Source organism: Homo sapiens, chromosome 3, assembly GCF_000001405.40.
Source record: "Homo sapiens chromosome 3, GRCh38.p14 Primary Assembly".
In the NCBI taxonomy this organism is placed as follows: domain Eukaryota; kingdom Metazoa; phylum Chordata; class Mammalia; order Primates; family Hominidae; genus Homo; species Homo sapiens.
Genome location: NC_000003.12, coordinates 127182426 through 127205307, shown reverse-complemented (window position 1 = coordinate 127205307; position 22882 = coordinate 127182426). Strand labels below are relative to the sequence as shown.

At 43.4% G+C, this 22882-nt stretch overlaps 1 protein-coding gene across 1 annotated transcript, besides 2 other annotated features; it reads right to left on the bottom strand.

Moving 5' to 3' along the window:
- Positions 1-7122: 7122 nt before the first annotated feature.
- Positions 7123-12177, bottom strand: PRR23E (PRR23 family member E). Its single transcript, NM_001007534.2, has 2 exons — positions 12033-12177; positions 7123-8717 (listed from the first exon to the last, which is right to left on the bottom strand). The coding sequence occupies exon 2, from the start codon at positions 8620-8622 to the stop codon at positions 7894-7896; it is 729 nt and encodes a 242-aa protein (NP_001007535.1). The 5' UTR covers positions 8623-8717; positions 12033-12177; the 3' UTR covers positions 7123-7893.
- Positions 7889-8833: an enhancer, noted in NCBI's record as "H3K4me1 hESC enhancer chr3:126915318-126916262 (GRCh37/hg19 assembly coordinates)". NCBI's record gives its function as "activates a minimal SCP1, AML or CMV promoter by ChIP-STARR-seq in naive H9 embryonic stem cells {active_cell/tissue: H9 hESC(naive)}" and the evidence as "EXISTENCE:reporter gene assay evidence [ECO:0000049][PMID:30033119]".
- Positions 19743-20610: an enhancer, noted in NCBI's record as "H3K4me1 hESC enhancer chr3:126903541-126904408 (GRCh37/hg19 assembly coordinates)". NCBI's record gives its function as "activates a minimal SCP1, AML or CMV promoter by ChIP-STARR-seq in primed H9 embryonic stem cells {active_cell/tissue: H9 hESC(primed)}" and the evidence as "EXISTENCE:reporter gene assay evidence [ECO:0000049][PMID:30033119]".

Here is a 22882-nt window from a genome sequence, read left to right as displayed (position 1 = left end):
GATGGCTGTTAACCTCCAAAATGCCCCACCGGGCTCCAAAGTGAACTCTTGAGTTTAAATGGGAGAGTCCTGAAGATGTTCTCCAGCTTTGGCACCCAGATAGATGCCTTCAGCAATGCTGGTGCAGTTAAATGGTTAGACAGTGCACGGTCCCTACGAGGATATCCCGTCATAACCGGGCGCCCTTGTGTCTGCTGAGATGGTACACAGGCGCATTTGGACTTGCTCAGGGTGTGGCCAGGAGCCCCAGGTCAGCAAGGCGTGTTCATACTGGGGAGCTCAGGCAGGGTTCACAGCGGCAGCTCAATGAGTACTGGGTGGGCTCCTGTCTTGCCCATGGTGCACAGCACGTGTGTGAGCTTTGTATGGGGGCAGTGATGGGGTTAACAGTCTGAGCAGGGTGAAGAGGCCGAAGAAGAGGAGGATCTGATGCCCAGATGCTAAGTTCTGGGCCCAATGCTATGGCGGCCCCAAGCCTGTCCAGGCAAGAGCTGCACTGTGGGATTCTGCTGCTGATGCCTGAGGCTGGGCTGAGGTAACCTGGTCCCCCACAGGGACTGAAGCTCTAGGAGCTCCTCAGCCCTGTCCAACAGGCAATAAGGAATATACCACCTACCAAATTTGTGGGACAAAGCTAAAGAGGTGGGTATTCTGAAGAAAATGTATAGCTTTAGGTTCATCATAAGGGAAAAGAGAAAACACTATGCATTCCACTGAGGTGTAAAAAAATAGCAACAGAACAAATCCATGGAAATAAAATGAAGGGACAAAATACAAAAGCAGAAATCCATGAACATAGAATGACAAAATAGTAAGAGTGAAAAAATGATTTCTTTGAAAAAAACTTTGATAGACAAAACATTGAGAAGATCGATTAAGATGAGAAAAGATGCATTTAAATAAAACATAGAACTATTATATAAAAGAAATATAAAAACTACTAATACAAAAATAAATGTGATAAGCAAAGTGGTAACTCCTTTATTCCTTAAAAGTCCCAGGAGGCCAGGCATGGCGGTTCATGCCCAGCACTTTGGAGGCCGAGGCAGATGGATCATCTGAGGTTGGGAGTTCGAGACCAGCCTGAACAACATGGAGAAACCCTGTCTCTACTAAAAATACAAAAATAGCCAGGCATGGTGGCACATGCCTGTAATTCCAGCTACTCGGGTGGATGCAGCAGGAGAATCGCTTGAACCCAGGAGGCGGAGGTTGCGGTGAGCTGAGATTGCACCATTGAACTCCAGCCTGGGCAACAAGAGTGAAACTCCTTCCAAAAAAAAAAAAAAAAGTCCCAGGAACAGGTGGTGATTATAGGTGATTTTTCAAACTTTCTCATAAACAGACTCCAGAAATTTCTTTTCAGAGGAAAAGCTGTGAAATTTAGTTTTTGAATTCAAAAGTGGTAAGGTCAACACAAGAAACATACCTAGATTATGTCTCCCTTATGTAAAATATCCTAAATAACACATCAATAAACCAAATGCAAAATATATTGCAAAATATATTGCAAAATACAAAAATATGGTCAGATTTAGTTTATCTCAACTGCAAGGAGATTGCAGTTGCAAGGATGATTCAACACAATCCACTGCATTATTAGCCTACAGAAGATAACAAAATGATTAATACAAGATGACAGTAAATACAAGAAAAATACTTTGATAAATTTCAACACACAACACACATCTCTATATAACTGAAAGATCAGGAAACCAAAAATTATAGTTAATGATATAAAAGATTTAAACTATACAATTAGCAACTTGATCAGAACTCTTCCATATATGGACATATAAAGAACGCTGCAATGAAAATGTACTTAACATGTTTACAAAATTTACTGGGTTTATAATATCTATAAATTTCAAAGAACTGGTTTTATATTGCATTCTCAAGCAATGGAATCAAGTTACCATCAATAATAAAAAATGACCTTAGTGAACATGTTGGTGTGAGTGTCCACAAGCCTTTGAAGATTTTTTCCTGTTCTGAAAGTTGTCCAAAGTGTGTAAGTCTTCCTTGTGACTTAGAATCCCATGAGGAAAAAAAATGGAATGATACTTTCAGGAAAATCTGCTGACCTAGGACAAAGAGTCAGCAAAAATATCCTTTAAAATAGAAGGCACAATTAAGATGTTTCCAGACAAACATAAGCTGAAAGAATTCCTCATGATTCAAAGCATGGAAGTAGTTCTTCAGGCTGAAAGAAAATGATTCCAGGCAGAGGCATCGAGATTTTGGCAGGAAAGAAGACTGCTGGAAAGGCAAATATATGAGTAATTGTATAACAGCAATGGCTGTAAGTCTCAAACAATAATGTCTTGTGAAACTACCAACTTAAATAGAAGGCATTACAACAATAGGGCAAAAGCAGAGGGAAGAATGGAGTTAAAACTGCTGGAAGGCTCATGCATGATTTGGAAAAGTGGTAAAATACAAATATAAAGTAGGCTATAATACATCAAGGGTACATATTTTAATCTCTAGAGTAACCACCAAAAGAATAATACACTAATGTGTAACTAAATAGTAATAGAGGAGGTACAATGGAATAATTAAAAAATACTTTGAATATTATGAAAGATGGCAGGAAAGGAGAAATAAAGGAACAAAGAGCAGAGGGAACAAAGAGAACACAAATAGTGAGATAGTAATGGTAATGGTATCAGGTCAATGATAGCAGTGATTCTGTTAAATATAAATGGTGTAAACAATCCAGTTAAAAGACAGAGACTGTCAGACTGGATTGAAAAAACCAAACCATCGACCTGCTGTTTATGAAACACTTAAGAACATGAAGTGATTGAAAGTAAGGCAAGCACTAACCAAAAGAAAAGTACACAGGCAGTGGTGTCTACAGCTAATGGATCACAGGCAGTTATAGATTTCTTTGTTCACTTTCCACCCTCACTGCTTCACTTGACTAGCCTGAAAAGGAAAAGTGGAATGAATATATTATCATCACACAAAACAGATGTTAATGTTAGAAGCATTGAAAGATGTCAAGTGGGACATCTTATAAAAAAGACAAATCATCCTTTGTCCCAAATTTGTTATATACCTAATAACATAACTTTAAAAATATAAAGCAAAAATCAACAGAACTAGAAGGAGAAATAGAATAAGTCACAATCAGAGCTGGAGATTTTAATGCCAACTCTGATGAAACAAGAAGATAAAAAGCAATAATAACATATATTTGAACAAAATAATTATCCAATTTCACCTAAATGACATATATGGAATATTATACCCCTAAATTGCAGAATTTTTAAGTACATGGGAAAATGTACTAAAATAGGCCAAAGGCTGTTCCACAAGCCAAGAGGCAACAAATTTCAAAAATTAATTTGAAGTAGATTATAGACCTAAGTATAAAATGTAACACAATAAACCTTCAAGAAAAAAATATGAGACTATGTCCATGACCTTCAGGTAAGCTATTAAACAGGCTTTTCAAAGCACTACCCAAAAGAGAAAATATTAATAAAAATTGGATATCCATAAAATTTACAACTTCTGTTGATTGACACGTCCCATTTTAAAAGTGAAAAGCCACAAAGAAGATATAAGCAATACTTGTATCTGACAAAACATTCATGTATAGAATAAGTGCACACACACCACATACCCCACAACCAACCCAAGGAAAAAAAACCTGGGACAGTCACTCCACAAAATAGGATATATAGATGGCTATGTGATCTATCCTAGGTTTTTTTAAAAAGCTATCAAACACTGTATATTGTTGGGGCAACTGGGAGTATTTGAGTATGTTCTGAATAATAGACATTAGGGAATTATTAATCTTGTCAGGTATGATAATGATAAGTGGTAGCGTAGGAGAATGCTTATTTTTGAGAGGTGCAGGAGGAAGTGTCAGACATCTGTGATTTACTTTCAAATGGTTTAACAGATAGACAGCCCTACAAATGGATAGATAATCCATATGCATGATACTATGCGTAAGTGTATTTGTTTGTATGAATAGAGACCAAGAGATAAAACAAAGGTTGCAAAGTATTAACAATTGTATACAGATGGGGGATATATGGGTGTTCCTTCTACTACTCCTTATAATTAAAATTCTTCAAATAGAAATGTAAAAATGTAATTGCGGTAGTCCCTCCTTATCTGAGGGGAGTATGTTCCAAGACCCCCAGTGGATGCCTGAAGCCACAGATGGTGCCAAACCCTGTATACACTGTTTTTCCTATACATACCTATGGTAAAGTTTAATTCATAAATTCGGCACAATAAGATCAATAATAAAACAGAACAATTATAACTATATGCTGTAATAAAGTTATGTGAGTGTGGTCTCCCTGTCTCTCAGCATCTTATTATACTACAGATCTCAGCAACCTCAGCATACTATTTTTTCCTTCCTTATTAAGTGAAGAACTTTCACATTTTCACTTAAAGAACGCACTTTATGGCTTCTCTTTGGCCTATGTGAATTGCCAGCAGCACTCCTCTAGCGCCTTGAGGCCACCATTAGATAAAACAAGGGTTCCTTGAACACAAGCAGAGGTACCCCCACTGTGGACCTAATAACCAAGACGGTGGAGTGACTAACAGGCAGGTGATGAAGTCAGCGTGGAACCTGAAGACAGCATGGAACTCTGGACAAGGCAGGCTCCATTCCCAGGGCAAGACAGAGATCTCATAACACTACTCAGAATGGTGGCCCCTTTAAAACTTAGAAATTGCTTATTTCTGGGATTTTTTAGTTAATATTTTGAGACCAAAGTTGACTGTGGGTAACTGAAACCTCAGAAAGCAGAACCGAGGATAAGGAGGGACTGCTGTATACCTCAGGAAAGCTGAGAAGAAAATGTAAAAACAGATTATGAGAGGGAGCCCCACACGTCCTCCCAGCTCCCTGCAAGCAGCTCTCTGCAGGCTCTGCCCCATTTAGCAGGTGGCTTTGGGGGCTCTGTGCTCCTTGTTGGGCATGGGGGAGCTCAGCCTGTGGAAGACTTTGGCAGCACCAAGGGGCCACCCAAGTGTTTTGGGGACACTGCAGGAAGCAGTGGTCAAGCAGCCCAACAACCCGGGCTGCCCCCATCCTCCATAGCCCCTGGAGGGCCAGCCGTGTGTGTACCTGTCATCGACAGTCTCCTACATTTGCTCAGTCTTTTGCAATCAGCGTAAAAAGAGAAAAGCATCTGGCATGAGCCTTGCTGCCCTCATCCAAGAACATGAAGTTCATAAGAAAGCTTCAGGCTGTGTAAAAGGCACTTGCAGAAACAGAACCATCTTGAGAAACCACCACTCTAGAGAAGGCATCATCCAAAACACAGAGCCAAGAGAAAACTACGGAGAGCAGAAGGGGTGATCTTCAGGCTCGAGGGAGAAATCAATTCCCCAGTGCTAGTCTGAAGAGCTCCCTCTCCCCTCCCCAGCTGAGGGTCTTGGAGACCTGCAGCCCTGTCCCTCCGCACCTGCTCCAGGAGGTTACATGGGTGCCTCATCTCAGGCTGGGTTTTCCTAGGCTATCATGTCCTGGAGACAGAATTGGGTTTCTTCAAGGTTAATTCAACCTTCTAATAGATCAATTATTTCAAATTCCAAAAGTATACCAAGAAACTTGGCAATCTTTCTCCTCCCTTCAATATGTATTATTAATGATTTCTCCTTCACCATCAGCATAAGATCAGCAAAAGGTATACAAGCACTGCCACTCAAGAGATTCAAGTTTTGCTCAAAGTGCTGTGGATGAAGCTATAGTTTTTTGGGTAGTGCACATATTATTGGTATGAATATTGTAAGTGAATAACTTCCATACTAATGCTCTATCAATATCATATAGACATTATTTTAATTCTCATTAGTCCATTATAACAGCAATGATAATTGGAATACTAATTGGAATATTATAGAAATTCTATATGAGACTTTTAAACTACAAACAATTTTGGTTTGTCAGGCTATAAGAAAATAAAATTTATTTGATTTTCCTTAATAGTGATTATTTAAAAAGATAAACAAAAATATCATATATCATAACTGTAGGATACATTTTAAAGTAGTATATTTAGAGGGAATTTTATAGCCTTAAAAACTTGTAATAGAAAAGAATCAAGCCTAAAAATGAACTAGCTGTTATTAACTTTAAGAAGTTACAAAACAAACAAGCTCACAATGAGAAGACACTTCAAGACACAGAATCACTGAGTCGAAAATAGATACTAATAAAACAGAAAAATCCATGGGAAATTTTCTATACAATATTTGAAAAGAAAAGTAGGGGTACAGCCACTATAGAAAACAATATAGAAGTCCCTGAAGAAATTAAACCTAGAAGTACCATATGACCCAGCAATGCTTCTTCCGGGTATGTACCCAAAAAAGATGAAATCACCACCTCATAAAGATACCTGCACTCCCATGTTCATGGCAGCATTATTTACAATAGCCAAGATATGGAAACAACCCAAATGCCTATCAATGGATGAATGGATAAAGAAAATATGATTATATCCATATATATATAATGGATATAGAGTATTATTTAGCCTTTAAAAAGGAGATCGTGCCATTTGCCATAACATGCATGGAGAATGATGAAATAAGTCAGACACAGAAAAAAAAATTGCACAGCTTCCCTTATATGTGGAATATTAAAACAGAACAAAGAGCTAAAATACAGAGATAGAGAAAGAAGCAGTGGTTCCCATGGGCTGGGAGTGGGGAAACCAGGATATGTAAGTCGAAGGATACTAAATATACATAGGCTGAGCAAGCCTAGAGCTCTAAGGTACAGCATGAGGAATAAAGCTAATGAAATGGCATTGTACTAGGGGTTTTTGTCAAATAAGTAGATTTTAGCTCCTCTTATCACCAAAAAAAAGTAGCCGTGAGATGACAGATGTTAGTCGGCTTCACTATGGTAACCATTTTACTACCTGTATGTATCCCATAACATCACGTTGTAAACCTCAAATATACACAATAAAATTTTAAAGAAAAATGGAATACAGCACATAACAAGAAATACAGCAAGAAATAGTATGGAAAACACGCTAATAAATTTGAATAAGCAAAATACACTATACATATATACAGATATGGCTAGGTCTTAAACTAATGAATGAAAAATTGGAGAAAACATGATTTATAGCATAGTATCATTTATTTAAAAATTTTTAAAAGCATGCACTGTACATTTTACTGGTGTGTGCATTACCCCAGAAGGTGCTGATGGGGTGAGGAGTGAGAAGAGCACACCCGCAAGGACCCAAGGGCACTAGCGCTCTGAACGAGTCAGCATTTCCTACTCTGTGTCCACTGGAACAAACAGGTTTTGGAAGCTTCTAGGCAGAGCCCACAGCACGTGCTCACTGGATTCCATGGGTTCCAAAGTGCTTGAGTGTGTGGTTCCCTGGAGGACACACCAATGCTGGAAGAGACAGCAGCAGGCCCCACAGGGTGGCCAGGGATGCGGGGATCCTGCTGAGGGTCTTTGCTGAGGAGGGGCAGAGAGAGTCCTGGGCTGGAGGGTGGCACAGGTGCCCAAATACCAAACCTGGAGGCCTATTCTAACTGAGCGCTTCTACAGGTTGGATTGAGCTTAAATAAGCTCATTTTACAAGGTTGCATGCATGCATGTTTGAGGACTCACAGCAAATCTACTAGAGGGCGGGCCCAGGACAGTCTGGGGAGGAGAAAAGGTGCCAGTATCAGGGTTGAAGGGCAAACAGAAAAACAAAGTAAAGAGAAATAGCAAATAGAGGGGCCTTGCATGAGTCCAGGAGGTGTACTCTGTACTGAAGAATAGTAAACAACCTACATCTGAGACTCTTCCAAAAACTTAAAGTCCACAGCTGGCTGGGCTCCACCAGACATGTCTCTGATTGTTGGGTGGGTCTGGGTCTAGAGGGCTGATTAGCACTCAAAGAGGCGGCGGCGGGCCCTGCAGGGTGACCGGGAGGAGGAGCGGGAGCAGCCCGGGTCCAGCTGAGAATCTTCAATGGGGGAAGGGGGCAGAGGGCGGAGCTCTGAACTGCAGCAGGGCAAAGGTGCCCAAATACCGAACCTGGAGGCCCATTCTGAGGGAGGGGCTTTGCATGTCTTCAAGTAGGGAGCTCCTCTGGATGGCCCCTCTACGGCAGCCCTGGGGGCTGAGCTGGCTGGAGTCCAGCATCCCACCTGGGGACAGTGGCTGGAGGTGGCCCCGCCCAGAGTGGGAGAAGCCAAGGAGTAGGTGGGTGGGAATTTCATGGGGAAAGGAAATAGGTTGGGGGCCAAGGCAGCCAGATACGGACTTCCTATGAGGGGGTCAAAGCTGGAGGCGCCCCTCCAATACAGCCACACTGAAGGCACCAAGGCAGCTGGAGGGGGATAACCCATCCAGAGATACCCACCATAGAGCACCCACGGGTAAGCCCAGAAGGCTGGGTAAGCTTGTGGGGAAAATCCCATGCAGGAGTAGATGACAGGCCAGAGGGCCAGGTCAGTTACAGGCTGGGCTCCCAAGCAGGTACAGGAACCATAGGCAGAGCCCATGGCCACCCAGGGGGTTGAGGCTGCCAGAGTCCCGTGGGCTTCCTCGGAGGCCTCGAAGGCACGGCGGACCTTCTGCTCTGCTTGTTTCTCTGATGCACCTGTGCCCATCTTAGATGAGCTGTGCTCTTCAAAGCCCCGAAGTGTCTGGCAAGTGCACTCCTCTGCAAGCTGAGGCCACACGCACCTCACGGGGCTCCTGGTATCTGTGGGGTGAGCAGACAGCCAGTCAGAGGGCAGGGAGACCAGGTCGCACAGGAGGGGATGGGAGGAGGGGGACAGCTGGGGGTGAGGTGACAGAAGAGCCAAGATCAAGGCATCTCCAGGGAGGATGGGGAGCAAGGTGTCCTGGGTAGGAACGAGTGGCCCCTGCAGTGGGAGGGGTGCACAGCAGCCACGTGAGGCATTTTCTAGGGACATCAAAACAAGTTCCAAATTCAGTTCCTCATGCTTCCCTCTATGCAAGTCACAGAGACCAAAGACTGGAGAGTATGGATGGCCAAGTCTGTTGGAGACCTGCTGGAGGGAGAGTTAAAGATTCAGCAAAGCCCCTAAGCTGACAGATGAAGGAACAGCAAAGCCAGAAATCCACAGGGGCCACCCCAGTGCAGGGGCTGCTGAAGGGGCAGACAGGTCCCGGAGCACTTCATCCTTGACAGATGCTTGCCCCACAAAGCAGGACCTCCCAAAACATTTCCTCCAAAGGATGCAGTGTCTGAACACAAGGCCTGTCAGGTTTCTCCTGGAGTGTTCTGGAATGTTGTGAACAGCATATTCAGCACCCACACCTGACACAGTGAGGACATGATGGAAAGGAAGAGAAAGAAGTGAAGAGATGATCAAAGGCCCAGTATCCAGGAGAGGGCACATCAGGTAGCCCCAGGTGTTTTTCCCCAAAACGAAGGTCCCCCAGAGGAATCTCCTTGAAATTTGGAGCTGTTTCTGAAATAAGAACTGATGCGCAGTACATGCTTTGACTGTCTTAGGTGACAAGGATGAGGCACAGAGAGACGGTGGAGAGGTCCTGTGGCCAGGAGAGGACACCCCCAGCCCCAGCATCAAGGAGCGGAGGCTGGTGCGGTCAGGACCCCTGGGGTCCTGAGGGCTGGGGTCAGGGGCAGCATGGAATGGAAGAAACTGAGGCACAGCTGACTGGAAACACCCCACAACCTCCAGTCAGGTGAACAAGAGGACGCTATATGAGAAAGAAACCAGCCAGGTGCCTCCAGAGTCCTTTTGGCAGAGCCTAGAGGGAGGCTGCCCATTGGAGTCAGGAGCTGAGCAGATGAGGACACTGGGAAACCTTTTAGGGTACAAGTGAGGGCAGGGAGGGACTTCCTGGGGGCAGAGACAAGAAGTCAGATCACGAAGGTGCCCCGGAGTGCCTGCCAGAACTCTCAGGGCGAGCATGGCAGGGAGCCTTTGAGAAGCTGCTCTACCAGCTTTGTGTTTCAGGAGCCTCTCTAGATCAGAGGGTGGACCACAGATGGAAGAAACCGGCCCGGGAAAGGAAGAGAAATGGATGTAAGGAGAAGGAGAGGAAGGTGCCAGGCAGATGTTCAAGTTTCTGTCTTGAGCAACTGGTGTGTGCCAAGGACCCACTCCCGGATAGTTAGGTGTGTGTGGGCTGAGTGGGTCTGGTGTATCTCTTCTCTCCTCCACCCAGGCAAAACACAGTTACAGCGGAAACTGGAGATCTGACAGTGGTGCTCCCCCTCCTCTCTGCCACAGCGCGGGAGGACAGGTTTAAGGGAAGAGAGCACCAGCGCTCTTTCTCCTGGCTGGGGTCCTGGACCATGGGAGGTGCTCAGGTGTGGCCTGATGCTCTGAGATGGAAACGTGGGCAAGGTCAGGGCAGAGGGCCCTGTGTGGCTGAAGAAGCATTCATTTCCTCCCGAATGGGCAGAGGACCTGGGGTGGAGGACAGGCCAGTAGCCCCAGGGAGGATCTTCTTGAGGGACCTGAAGGACACACAATGACAGCCAGTGACAAGAAAGGAGCTTAGTGTTTCATAGATGCCTGCAGGGACAGAAGCTGAGGACCAGTAGGAGGAGGCCCAGCTGAGATGCCCGTAGGATAGATGTGGACCACTGACCAAATGGCCCACCCAGAAATTTGAGGCAAAGACACCCTGGCCCCAGACTGCAGGAGCCAACTCCTGGAAAAGGGGGCAGGAGGAAACCGAAATGCACTGAGAAAGTCTCAAGTGCCCAAGGTTACCCATACTGAGGAGGAAATCCCTCTTCCTCAACTGCCCAAAGGTAGCCTCTAGATGGAAAATCAGTTCTGGAAAAACACACTACATCGTATGTACTTCTGGCCTGTGATACGCGTATCCTTGCAAGTTCAGATCATCCTCTAAAGCAAGCTAGTCCAACCTGTGGCACAGGACGGCTTTGAATATGGCCCAACACAAATTCGTAAACTTAAAACATTACGGGATTTTTTAATGATTTTTTTTTTTAGTTCTTCAGCTATCTTTAGTGTCAGTGTATTTTATGTGTGGCCCAAGACAATTCTTCTTCCAGTGTGGCCCAGGGAAGCCAAAAGATTGGACACCCCTGCAAGAGTTAACATGCACAAATGCCTAGTTGGCTTCTCAAAAACTTAATATGGTGGAGAAGGCCCTTTGTGCATGATACCAAGACAAGAAAATACAGGCAGATAAAACTGGCTATTTAAAAATTGAATATCTGGTTAAAAAAAATGCCACAAAATTATCATGTTCAAAATCAAAAGACAAACCACAAAATAGAGGGCGATATCTCCAACATGTGGCAGACCAGAGCTAATCATATGTCAGATACAGACAGCTCTTGCTAGTCCACGGCAGGTAAATAAGACCTTATCAACAATCTCGCCCAAGGGCAACCACAAGCAAGCCACAGAATAAGCTATACAAAATCATGTAAAAATGTTCCACTTCACCATGTTTTTAAAAAAATCAAATTACAAAAATGGAACTTTGATTTTTACAATTAATTTGATAAAGAATAAAGCCCTATACTGGCTTTTCAAAGGATATGGAGAAAAACATGCTGGGTTTGTTGTTTACTCTTTAGTAAGTAAAGAGTAAACAGCTATCAAATTCAAAACCCGATTTCCTTGTCCGAAGCAGCCAGACTGCCTTCATCTGGGTCCCCTAGGGCGGGCCTGGGAGCTGGGCAGAACAGAGAACACATTAATCTGGGCCTCTACCCACACCTCGCAGCTGCAGCGGGTGGAGGGATGATTCTGCGAGGGGGCAGGCAGGAGGGTCCTGGGCTTGGCTTTTAGGGGAGGGGCTGGGGCTGAGGGAACAGGCTGGAGAGAGCTGTCTCATAGGGTGGGGTGCGACGCGGACACTTTCAGGCCTGCTGAACTGCAAGAGAAGCAGGGAAGGGGCGGGAAGGAGGAGAGGGGAGATGCCAGGAGTTGGGTGGGAGAGTGCGGAGAGGATGGTGTCAGAGAAGGTCCTCAGGCCCTCGCCCCACCCCCTCAGCCATCCCATAAGGCTAACTTTGTTCTTTCTCGCTACTTACCCACTTGGTCTTTCTAGAACGTTTCTTTCCAGCGAAGTCCCTCAAGTGGTTGAGGTTTGTCAACAGAGCTGAAATGCTCTCTCAAGAGGTCTTGGGGCTCCCTAGGCGTTACTGTCCCCGGTCCAGGTGGCGGCAGGAGACCACTGGAGGCCTCAGATTCCAAGCGGCCCAGGAGCGCAGTCCACCGGGCTTTTACGGGAATGCGCGCAGCCGCGGGGCGGGGCCTGGGCTCCTGGCGGTGGTCGGAAGAGGTCCCAGGACTCAATCAGTTTCCGAGGTGTAGACGCCGGTGGGGTTGATTGGGTCAGCTGCTTATCCCAGAAATGAGGTGGAACTCAATTGTATTGAGGGCTACGCCAACAGCGCAGAGGTGTTACCAGGGTATGAAGACGTTCCCCTCTCGGATGGGAGGCATTGGGGAGGAGTCCTGCAGGCGGTAGCTTTCGGTGGAGTCTGCACGCTGGATGGGCCCCAGCAGTGCTGGGGGAGTGGAGCTGACGAGGGAGGAGACAGGAGGCCCACAGGGCCAGAGGGGAGGCCTTCCGCCTTCCAAGGCCTTGTGGATGGGGCAAAAGAGGTTGGTCTCTGTCCCGGGAGCAACGCGAGCCATTGCAGAGTTTTCATCAGAAGCAGAGCAGTGTGCTCAGCTGGGGCAGATCCTGCGTTTGCTGGGTCCGAAGCTTAAACAACTGGGCCATCCCACAGGAAGAGAAGTCAAATGTTCTGAATGTGCATGCTCCTTTGAGTGCGGTCATTCGGGTATGCAGCTCCCAGTACCCCTATACCCTAACGTTTAAGGGGAGCTTCCTCTGTGCTAGGTTCTGTTCTGAGCACCTCTCACGCATTTGCTCATTTCATCCTCACACCACCTGGGGATACCCACGTTAATGCAATCAACAGGACCCAGAAAATCCAGTTGCTTATCCAGAAGGTCACAAGAAGCCCCAAAGTAGACATTATAAAATGTATACAACACAACTGATTGTCTCAGATGACCAGCAGCAGTCACTTCTCTCTGAGAGCCCCAGCTGCCTCTGGGTGCTGATGACATTGCGCCTTCCCTGCCGTTCAGCCCAGAATGGTCATGACCCCTTATTGTCCACAGACTTTGACATTCCTTCTTGCTTTCCTTACCTTTTCCCAGGCCTCTGAAAATAGTCCATGCATTAACATTCAGTGTTCTTCAATTAACCACTTGAATGTTCCACACGGGAACCTTGCCCAATACACTTTCCTTGGTTCTTCAGAATGGTTCTTGCCTTGAATCATATTTTGTCTGAGACCACCCTTACCATACATGGTTTTTGTTGAGTTGTTCGCATTACTGTCAGTATTCATCTTTTTTTAAATTTGTTTGTTTGAGACAGGGTTTCCCTCTGTTGCCCCAGCTGGAGTGCAGTGGAACAATCATAGTTCACTGCAGCCTCAAACTCCTGGGTGCAAGCAATCCTCCCACCTCGGCCTCCCAAAGTGCTGGGATTGCAGACATGAACCAAGGGGCCTGGTCAGTACTTATCTTTCAATAAATAACTTTACTTCATTCATATTTGTTTTCCTTAAATTAGCAAATCAATAGCTATATTCTCCCTACATGAATACAATATTCTTAGCACAATTTAAAAATTATCCTTTCATATTTCCCCTATATTAACATCCTATATTAATGTTGGGAATATTACCTTGATCTTGTTATATCATTTTTTAACCCATACTTATTTAGACTTACTAACAGCTTTCACTAATGACTGTGTTCACTGTTGCATTTTGACTTACACAATTTCTTTCTTAATTTCCTTTAAAATTTTGATTCTATATTTCTATAATATATAATTCATATAATTCTATAATTTGTATTGTTAGTCACTCTATGAAGATCTGTACATAGGAAAATTTGGAAAGTTTTTATATGCAAAAACATAGTTCATTCTCAATTTTGATTGACAATTTGGCTGGGTATAGAATTCTAGGTTCAGAGTTACTTGATCTTAGCACTTTGAAAATAATGTGTAATTAACCTATTGCCCCTCTTTTGTTGCTGAGAACTGTAATTTTTATCAGAATCTTTCTTTATAAATAGTTTCTTTTCCCATGCAACTAATATAAATTTTTCTTCATCCTTTCATATTTTGACATGTCCTTGGAATGTAATTATGATTTGTTTTTATTATGTGGTGGTTTGTTCTGCTACACACTTGGTATGACCTTTCAATTTGAAGATTAATTTATTTCTTCAGTTTTAATCACCTCTAACATTCATGAAGTTGATTAATGATTCACTGGTTTCACCAAAGAAAATCTGTTTCTGACACTTATAATGGGATTAAGCCAGAAATACCCAAGAAATCTTGTAGAAGAATAAAGTGGAGGACTTACACTTCCAGATTTTAAGATCTACTGTAAAGCTACAACAAATAAGTTAGCAATAGCCAAATAGATTAATGAAACAAAATAAAGAGTCCATGAACAGACCCACACATAATTTTCAACAAAGGGGCCAATGATTCAGTAGCTAAATGAAGTGCTTCTCAATGAATGTTGCTGGAGCACATGAATATCCATATCAAAAATAAATAGATCTCATCCCCTCATGTATCACATCATAGGCAAAATTAATTTGATGTGGGTCATAGACTTGATTTTACTTTTAAAATAATACAAGACAAAATAATAAAGCTTCTAAAAGAAAAATAAGAATATTTTCATTATTCTGATAACTGTACTATGGTTATGTAAGATAGTAAAATTAGAGAAAGCTGGATGAAGAGTATACATAAATTCTCTGTTTTTTTTTTACAACTTTTCTGTAAATCTAAAATTACTTTAAATAAAAGGTTTCAAAAAGGCATAACTTTATAACTTTGAGACAGGCAAAAGTTACTTAAATAACGAACAAAAAAGGTAACCATAAAGGAAAAGATTGATGAATTTTACTCCATTAAAATTAAAAGATATTTATAAGAAGATACCAAAAAGAGAATGAAAAGACAAGCTACAGACCAGAGGAAGATGTTTGTAATACATGTATCCAACCAAAGATACATATACAGAATATATTAAAAGCTTCTACAAATCAATGGTCACAGCTCACAAATCAGTGGTCACAGCTACTCAGGAGGCTGAGGTGGGAGCCAAGGCTGTGGTGAGCTATGATAGAATCACTGCACTCCAGCCTGGGTGACCAAGTGAGATCCTGTCTCTAATTAATTAATTGATTAATTTTTTTAAAAACTTAAATTGACATTATTCAGTGCTGAGAAGCATGTGAAGGAACTGGAACCCTCAAAAGTTGATAGTGAGACTTTAAATTGGAATAATACTTTGGAAAACTAGCAGTACCCTATAATCCAAAATTTACACTCCTAGGTGTTATATATATATATATATATATATATATATATACACACACACACATATATATGAAAAAATAACTGCATGAGTCCACAAAATATATGTACAAGAGTGTTTATAGCAATTTTATTCATAACAGGTAAAATTGGGAACAACCCAAATATTCATCAACAAAAGTGTGACATGTTCATACAACAGAATGATACACAGCAATAAAAACAAATGTTCTCTTGCTCCATGTCATAAGAGACATGAATCTCACAAACATAATGTTGAGCTAAATAAGCCAGACATAAAGGAGTTCATTCTGTGTGGTTTAAGTTGTATAACATTCAAAAATAGGCAAAAATAATCTATAGCAATAATCTATAATGATAAATGTTAGAAGTCACCCTCCAGGGCCAGGGGGTGGTGTGGATTGATGGGAAGGGTCCCCTGGGAAGCTTCTGGGGGCTAGGGGTGATTTATATCTTGATAGTTACATATGTTTACATAGATAAAATTACAATAAAAATTCATTGACATATGGGAGTCCTAGAGAGGGAGGAAAGAGAAAAAGGAGCAGAAAGAATATTTTTAAAAATAGTGGCTGAAAACTTGACAAATCGGATGAAAAACAATCCCCACATCCAAGAACTTTAATGAATTCCAAGTAGGATAAACTCAGAGATCCATACCTAGACAGATTATAATCAATAACACATTCCTAAATAGCCAATGGGTCAATGAGAAATCACAAGGAAAATTAGAAAAGACTTTGAGATGAATGAAAACAAATATGCAACATACCAAAACATATGGGTTACAGTGAAAGCAGTGTTCAGAGGGAATTTATACCTGTAAATGCCTAGGTTAAAAAAAGAAGAAAGCTCAAATCAATACCCTGACCTTCAACCTTAAGAATCTAGAAAAAGAGCAAACCAAACCCAGAGCAAGAACAAGGAAGTAAATAATAAAAACTAAAGTGGAAATAAATGAAATAGAAAATGGAAAAGCAATAGAGAGAAATCAGTGAAACCATAACATAGTTCTTGGAGAAGGCCACAAAATTGACAAATGTTTAAGCCAGATTGACCAAGAATAAAAGAGAGAAGACTCAAATTACTAAAATCAAGAATCAAAGAGGGGACATTACTACCAAACTTACAGAAATAAAAAGGATTATAAGAAAATACTAAGAACAATGGTAAACCAACCAATTAGACCAGCTAGATAAAAACAGAAAAAATTCTAGAAAGACACAAACTACCAAAACTGACCCATGAAGAAACAGAAAATCTGAATAGACTTATAGCAATAAAGAGATTAAATCAGTGATCAAAAACTTCTCAACAAAGAAAAGCCCAGGACCAGATAGTTTTCACTGGTAAATTCTACCAGGTGTTTAAAGAATTAACACCAAACCTCAAATTCTTCCTAAAAATAGAAGAGAAGGGAAGATTTTCCAACTCATCCTATGATACCAGCATTACCCTAATACCAAAGCCAGATAAAAACATCACAAGAAAACTGCAAACCAGTAACTCTTGAAAATTCTCAAGAAAATACTAGCAAATGAAGTCCAACAACATATACACAGAATTATACAAGATCAAGTGGGATTTATCTCCAAAATGCAAAGTTGGCTCAACATTTGAAAATCAGTTAGTATAATATATTCTATTAATAGAATACAGGTCAAAAAACACATGATCATCTCCATAAATACAGAAAAAATCATTTGACAAAAATTCAACACCCTTTCATGATAAAACACCCAACTAGCTAGGAATACAAAGGAACTTTCTCAACTTGATAAAGGACATCTATAAAAACAAACAAACAGCACCCTCACAGCTGACACCATATTTTCTCCCTAAAAGAAAGAATAAGACAAGAATGTCTACTCTTACCAATTCTATTCAAGGCTGTACTGGAGGTACTAGCCAAAGAAATTAGGCAAGAAGAAATAAAAGGATCCAGATTGGAAAGGAAGAAGTAAAACTATCTCTATTTGCAGGTGACATGATTATGTATATAGAAAATCCTAAGGAATCTACCAGGAAAACCAACCAACCAACCAAACAAACAAACAAACCCTGTGAGAGCTCATAAATGAGTTCAGTAAGATTGCAGGATGCAGATCAAAATATTAAAAATTATATTGTATTTCTACCTACTAGTAATAAAAAAATCAAAACATAAAATTAAGAAATAATTCCAAGTACAATACCATCAAAAGGAATGAAATATTTAAGAATAAATTTAGCAAAAAAGTGTCAGACTTGTAACTGCAAACTACAAAATATCATTGAAAGAAATTAAAGAAGATCAGAATAAATGGAAAGACATCCCATATTCACAGATTAGAAGACAATATTGTTAAGATGGCAATACTTTTTAAACTGATCTACAAGTTCAATGTAACTGTCAAAATCCCAGCTGGCTTTTTGCATAAATTGACAAGCTGATCCTAAAATTCATATGGAAATGCAAGAGACCCAGAATATACAAAACCATCTTGAAAAAGAAGAACAAAATTAGAGGATTCATTTCCCAATTTCAAAACTTACTACAAAGCTACAGTAATCAAGACTATGTGGTGCTGACCTAGGAGAGACGTATAGATCAATGGAACAGAATTGTAAATCTAGAAGGAAGTCCATACATTTATGGTCAATTGATTTTCATCAAGGGTGCTGGGACTGTTTGATGGGGGAAAGCACTGTCTTCTAAGCAAATGGTGCCAGGTTAACTGGATACACACATGCACAAGAATGGAATTGGACCCTACCTCATGCCTACCCAGAAAAATTAATTCAAAATGGATCAATGGCCTACATGGGAAACCTAAAACTATCAGAAGAATTTGTAGATGTAAATCTTCATGACTTGGATTAGGCAACAGTTTCCTAGAAATGACACCTAAAGTACAAGCAAGCGAAGATCAAATCGATAAACTGGACTTCACCAAATTAAATTTTGTTGCGCTTCAAGGGACATTATCAAGAAAATTAAAAGATCTGTAGAATGGAAGGACATACTTGTAAATCATATTTGATACAGGACATGCATCTAGAATTTATTTTTTAAAAGCCTCAAAACTCAACAATGAAAGGCAAATAACGCAGTTTAATAATGGGCAAAATATTTGAATAGACATTTCTCCAAGGACCATAAACAAATGGCCAATAAACACATGAAAAGATGCTCAACATTATTAGTCCTTGGGGGACAGCAAATCAAAATCACAATGAGATGCCACTTCACACCCACTTAGGATGGATATAATAAAAAGACAATTACTAGTGCTGCCAAGGATGTGGAGAAAGTGGAACCTTCATACCTTGCTGGTGGGAATGTATGGCATTTCCTGAAAGAATTAAATAGAGTTACCATGTAACCCAGCACTTCTACTCCTAAGTCTATATCCAAAAGAAAACACATGTCCACACAAAAACCTTGTCCATGAATATTCACAGCAGCATTAGTCATAGTAGCCAAAAAGCAGAAACTACCCAAATGTTCATCAGTTGACAAGTGAATAGACAAAATGGGGTCTATCCATACCATGACATATGTCACCATACAAACCAATGAAATCTGAGGCATGCTACAACATAGACAAAACTTATAAATATTATCCTAAGTGAAGCTTGTGTGGTAGCTCACACCTATAATCCCAGCACTTTGGGAGGCTGAGGTGGATCGATCATTTGAGGTCAGGAGTCTGAGACCAGTCTGGTCTACTGAAAAAACAAAAATTAGCTGGGTGTGGTGACACACGCCTGTGATCCCAGCTACTCGGGACGCTGAGGCAGGACAATTGCTTGAGCCTGAGAGGCAGAGATTGCAGTGAGCCAAGATTGTGCCTCTGCACTCCAGCCTGGGCCACAGTTTGAGACTCCAGCTCAAAAAACAAAAACAAAAACAAACAACAAAAAAAAACTAAGTGAAAGAAGTCAAGCATTGATATGAAATGTCCAGAATAGGCAAATTCATAGAAACAGAAAGTAAATTAGAGGTTGCCAAGGGCTGGGGGAGGGGGAAGGGGGTGTGCCTGCTAATGAGTATGGGATTTTTTTTGGAGTGATGAAAATATTCTGGAATTAGATAATGGTGATGGTTGCACAAATGTGTGAATATTCTGAAAACGACTGAATTGCACACTTTAAAAGGGTAAATTTTGTGGTATGCGAATTATATTTCAATTAAAAAATCATTGAGCTTTACTGTTAAGGTTTATATGCTGTTCTGCAGAAGGAGGTAAAAGGAAATACATTTATATAATCTAAAAGAGGATCAAGAATGTATATCTTACTTTTTAATAAAATAGTCAATAGACAAAACAAACAACTGTAATGCATCATTATTGATTGGCCCTAGTGTTTACAAAGCTGTAAAATATATTCTGAGGACAGTTATGAGAACTTGAATATGGAGTAAATAAGTATCGGATGACATCATGGAATTGGTCGTTTTTTGCAGCTAAGATAATGCTACATGTGAATGTGAAAGAACATCCTTATTTTTTAGAGCTGTCTTCCGGAGTATTGTAATATCTCTGATTTAGTTTTCAGTGGTTTGGCATTGTGCATGGAGAGAGAGATAGAGAGAGAGAGAGGAAGCAATATGGTAAAATGTTAATACTTGTGGAATTTGGGCAACAAGTTCTTTGTACTGTTCTTTCTACGTTTCATCATGTTCAAGGCTTCTCATAATGCATTTATAAGGAAAGAGAAGCGTGTGCATGAATGTAAGTGTTTAGTTGAATTCTCCACAGCCACCCCCACTCCTCCCTCTGGCTCATCCACAAGGGTCCCATCCCAGTTGCAGGCTGGGTCCCAGGCAGAGCACTGGCCCTGCAGAGCTGGTCTTCAGCCTGGCCGCTGGGGAACCGTGGGAAAGGGCGGCTGGGCTGTCCCCCTACCTGAGGCCTGGGAGTCAGGGATGTGTGCACTGTCAACAGATTTCTGGTGGGTCTTTGGCTGTTGTTCAGACAAGGGCAGTTGGGGGGAAGCAGACTCCAAAAGGAAATGCAGTGGCCCTCCTTGGGAGAAGTAAAAAGTCTTTATCAAGCCTGAGGCCTTTTCAAAAGTAAAATGTCACACTGGAGTTACCCTTAGAGAACAACACTCTGGAGAAGGAGTGGCTAGAAGACGAAGCTTGACAGAAGCCATAAAGAGTTGTAGAGGACAGTGGGGTCGACAGAGGAGGGGACACCTCCCTGAGTGAGTGGTGAATGACAGATCCAGACGGTGCGGGGGAGGAGGGGACGGCACTGCAAGGACTAGCGCCCAGTGGCTCCACAGCAGTCCTTCCCCACGGAGCCCGGCCTGCTGTGGCCCCAGCAGGACGCCCCACCAACGCGTCAGTTTTCACCCCAAAAAAGAGCTGTCCTCTTCCCCTGCTCTCAGACTCCTGCCACCCCCTCCACCTGTGGATCTGAGGGGCCATTGTGGGGGGACTCCCTGCCGCTGCATCCTCTGTAGGAAGAGCCTAAGGACCCACCTGCACGGGCCAGCCATCCGCTTTCTCACCCTAAAAACGGAGGTGAGTTCCTACACTGTGACTCAGACTTCAGGATCCAGAAGCACAGTTGGAGGTGCGGGGCTGTCTCTCATTATCAGTTTAAGAAGCTGCCTGAGTGTGGGGCTGAGTTGGGAGGACCGAGGAGTACAGGACTGGGGTAAGCAAAGACCCTGGAGGCTAAGGCGGCTGGGTGCTGACTTCCCACGAGGTTCTAAAAGCTGGAGGACCTCAAACTGAAGGTGCCGAGGCAGCTGGAGGGGGATGCCCATATGGAGATAATGGCCAAAGGGCGGCCGCAGGTCAACCCTAGGGGGCTGGGCAGGTGTGTGGCAGGAGCCCCCACCAGTGATCAGTGACACAGGAGACCCCCATGACAAGGGAAGTGCCCAGGCAGAGAGCGAGTCCACAGACAGGTCCACCATGGGGGCCAGGCAGGTGGGTGATGTGGGGTCTCCTTGTCACTGACAAAGAAAATGAAGGTTTAAGCCAGGTGTGGTAGTGCACCTATAGTCCCATCATTCAGGAGGCTGAGGTGGGAGGATCATCTGAGTCCAGGAATGTTGAGGCTGCAGTGAGCGGAGATCACACCACTGCACTCCAGCCTGGGTGACAGAGTGAGACACTGTCTTGAAAGAGAAAGGAAGGGGAGGGGAGGTGGAGGAGGGGGAGAGGGAGGGGGAGGGTTTAAAAAAGAATGGAAGGTTGGCTTTAATCACTGAGTTTGGTAAAGTAGAAAAACCTGATGTACCTGGCATTTCACTGGATATGCAGATCAACACGTTCTGATGCATTGTTGGGGCACACAAAAGGGATCCCAGAGACCACCCTGGCAGAAGTGTCCCCCTGCGCACCCTGACACATTGACCCAGGGTCCATAGACCAAATGGCAGGCTGGGGCAGTGGTGAGGGGACAGCCAGGGCAGCATAACTGAGCTGAGGACAGGCTGCAGGGAGAAGGGCCATAGCAGGGAAGGCCTGTGCTCCTCTGTCCAGGGCAGGTTGACCCTCTCACCCTGTGCCAAGCAGGATCCCCACCCTGACTCCCCTAACAAAATCTGCTGGTCACCCTCAAAGGCCTGATGTTCCTGGCATGTCCCTCCTTGGTGCTGTGCCCAGAAGGCAGCCTTGCATGGTCTAGGACAGCGAGGGCCACCGGGGCTGCTGTGGGCTCCAAGCAGTGATGGCCTCCACCCATGCTGACTCCTCCCCTAGAGATGAAGGGGCCCAGATTTACCACCCAGGGGCAGGCAAGGGTTGGGGAGGCATGCGCAGTAGAGGAGGGAGGGGCTTTGACCAGGTGTGACTCAGGGAGACAGGGGATCAGGTTCCCTGTCAAAGGTCCACCTCTCCAGGGCTGCCTTAGGCGAGAAGCTGGTGGGATCGATCCAGCCATCTGTTTAATCCCAGAAACAAAGGTACTCACTGCACTGTGTTGCCCGCTGGCCAGGAGAGGGGCAGGGTGTGTAATTGACCTACTTGTCAGAAGTCAGGGAACAATGACCCCAGCAGGAGGGTTTGAAGGGAGTGGGAGTCAGTTGGGTGGAGGGGGTTGGGGACCTCAAAGGCAGGGGGCAGCCCAGCTACCAAGGCCCCCGGGGAGGGAGCAGACCCCTCCCAGGAGCCCACAGGCCACTGTAGCTGCAGCTGGGGTGAGGGGAGCTGGACCTGGACCTGGACCTGGACCTGGACCTGCCTCAGCCCTTGCCGTCGGGGTGGGGCCTGGCAGAGGCCAGGAGCCAGTCACCCTGGCCCTGGGTCTGGGGTTGGCACCAGGGCTCTCTCCAGTGGGGTTCCTGTCCCCACTTTCGAGAGGGGGTTACACCCTTAAGCCCTGACTTCCCTCTGAGCCTCTAGTTCGTGTGGGTGTGCAAAGACTGGTGTGCCCTCAGGGGCTTCGCTGTGTTATTCGGACCCTTTTGTCTTGTCTCCCTTGTTTCTCTGAGCAGCCAGTTGCTTTCTGAGCTGCATGCTATTAAATCTTCTGTGTTTCT

Coding starts and splice junctions, on each gene's coding strand:
- PRR23E (NM_001007534.2), bottom strand. CDS start 8,622: ATGGGCACAGGTGCATCAGAGAAACAAGCAGAGCAGAAGGTCCGCCGT.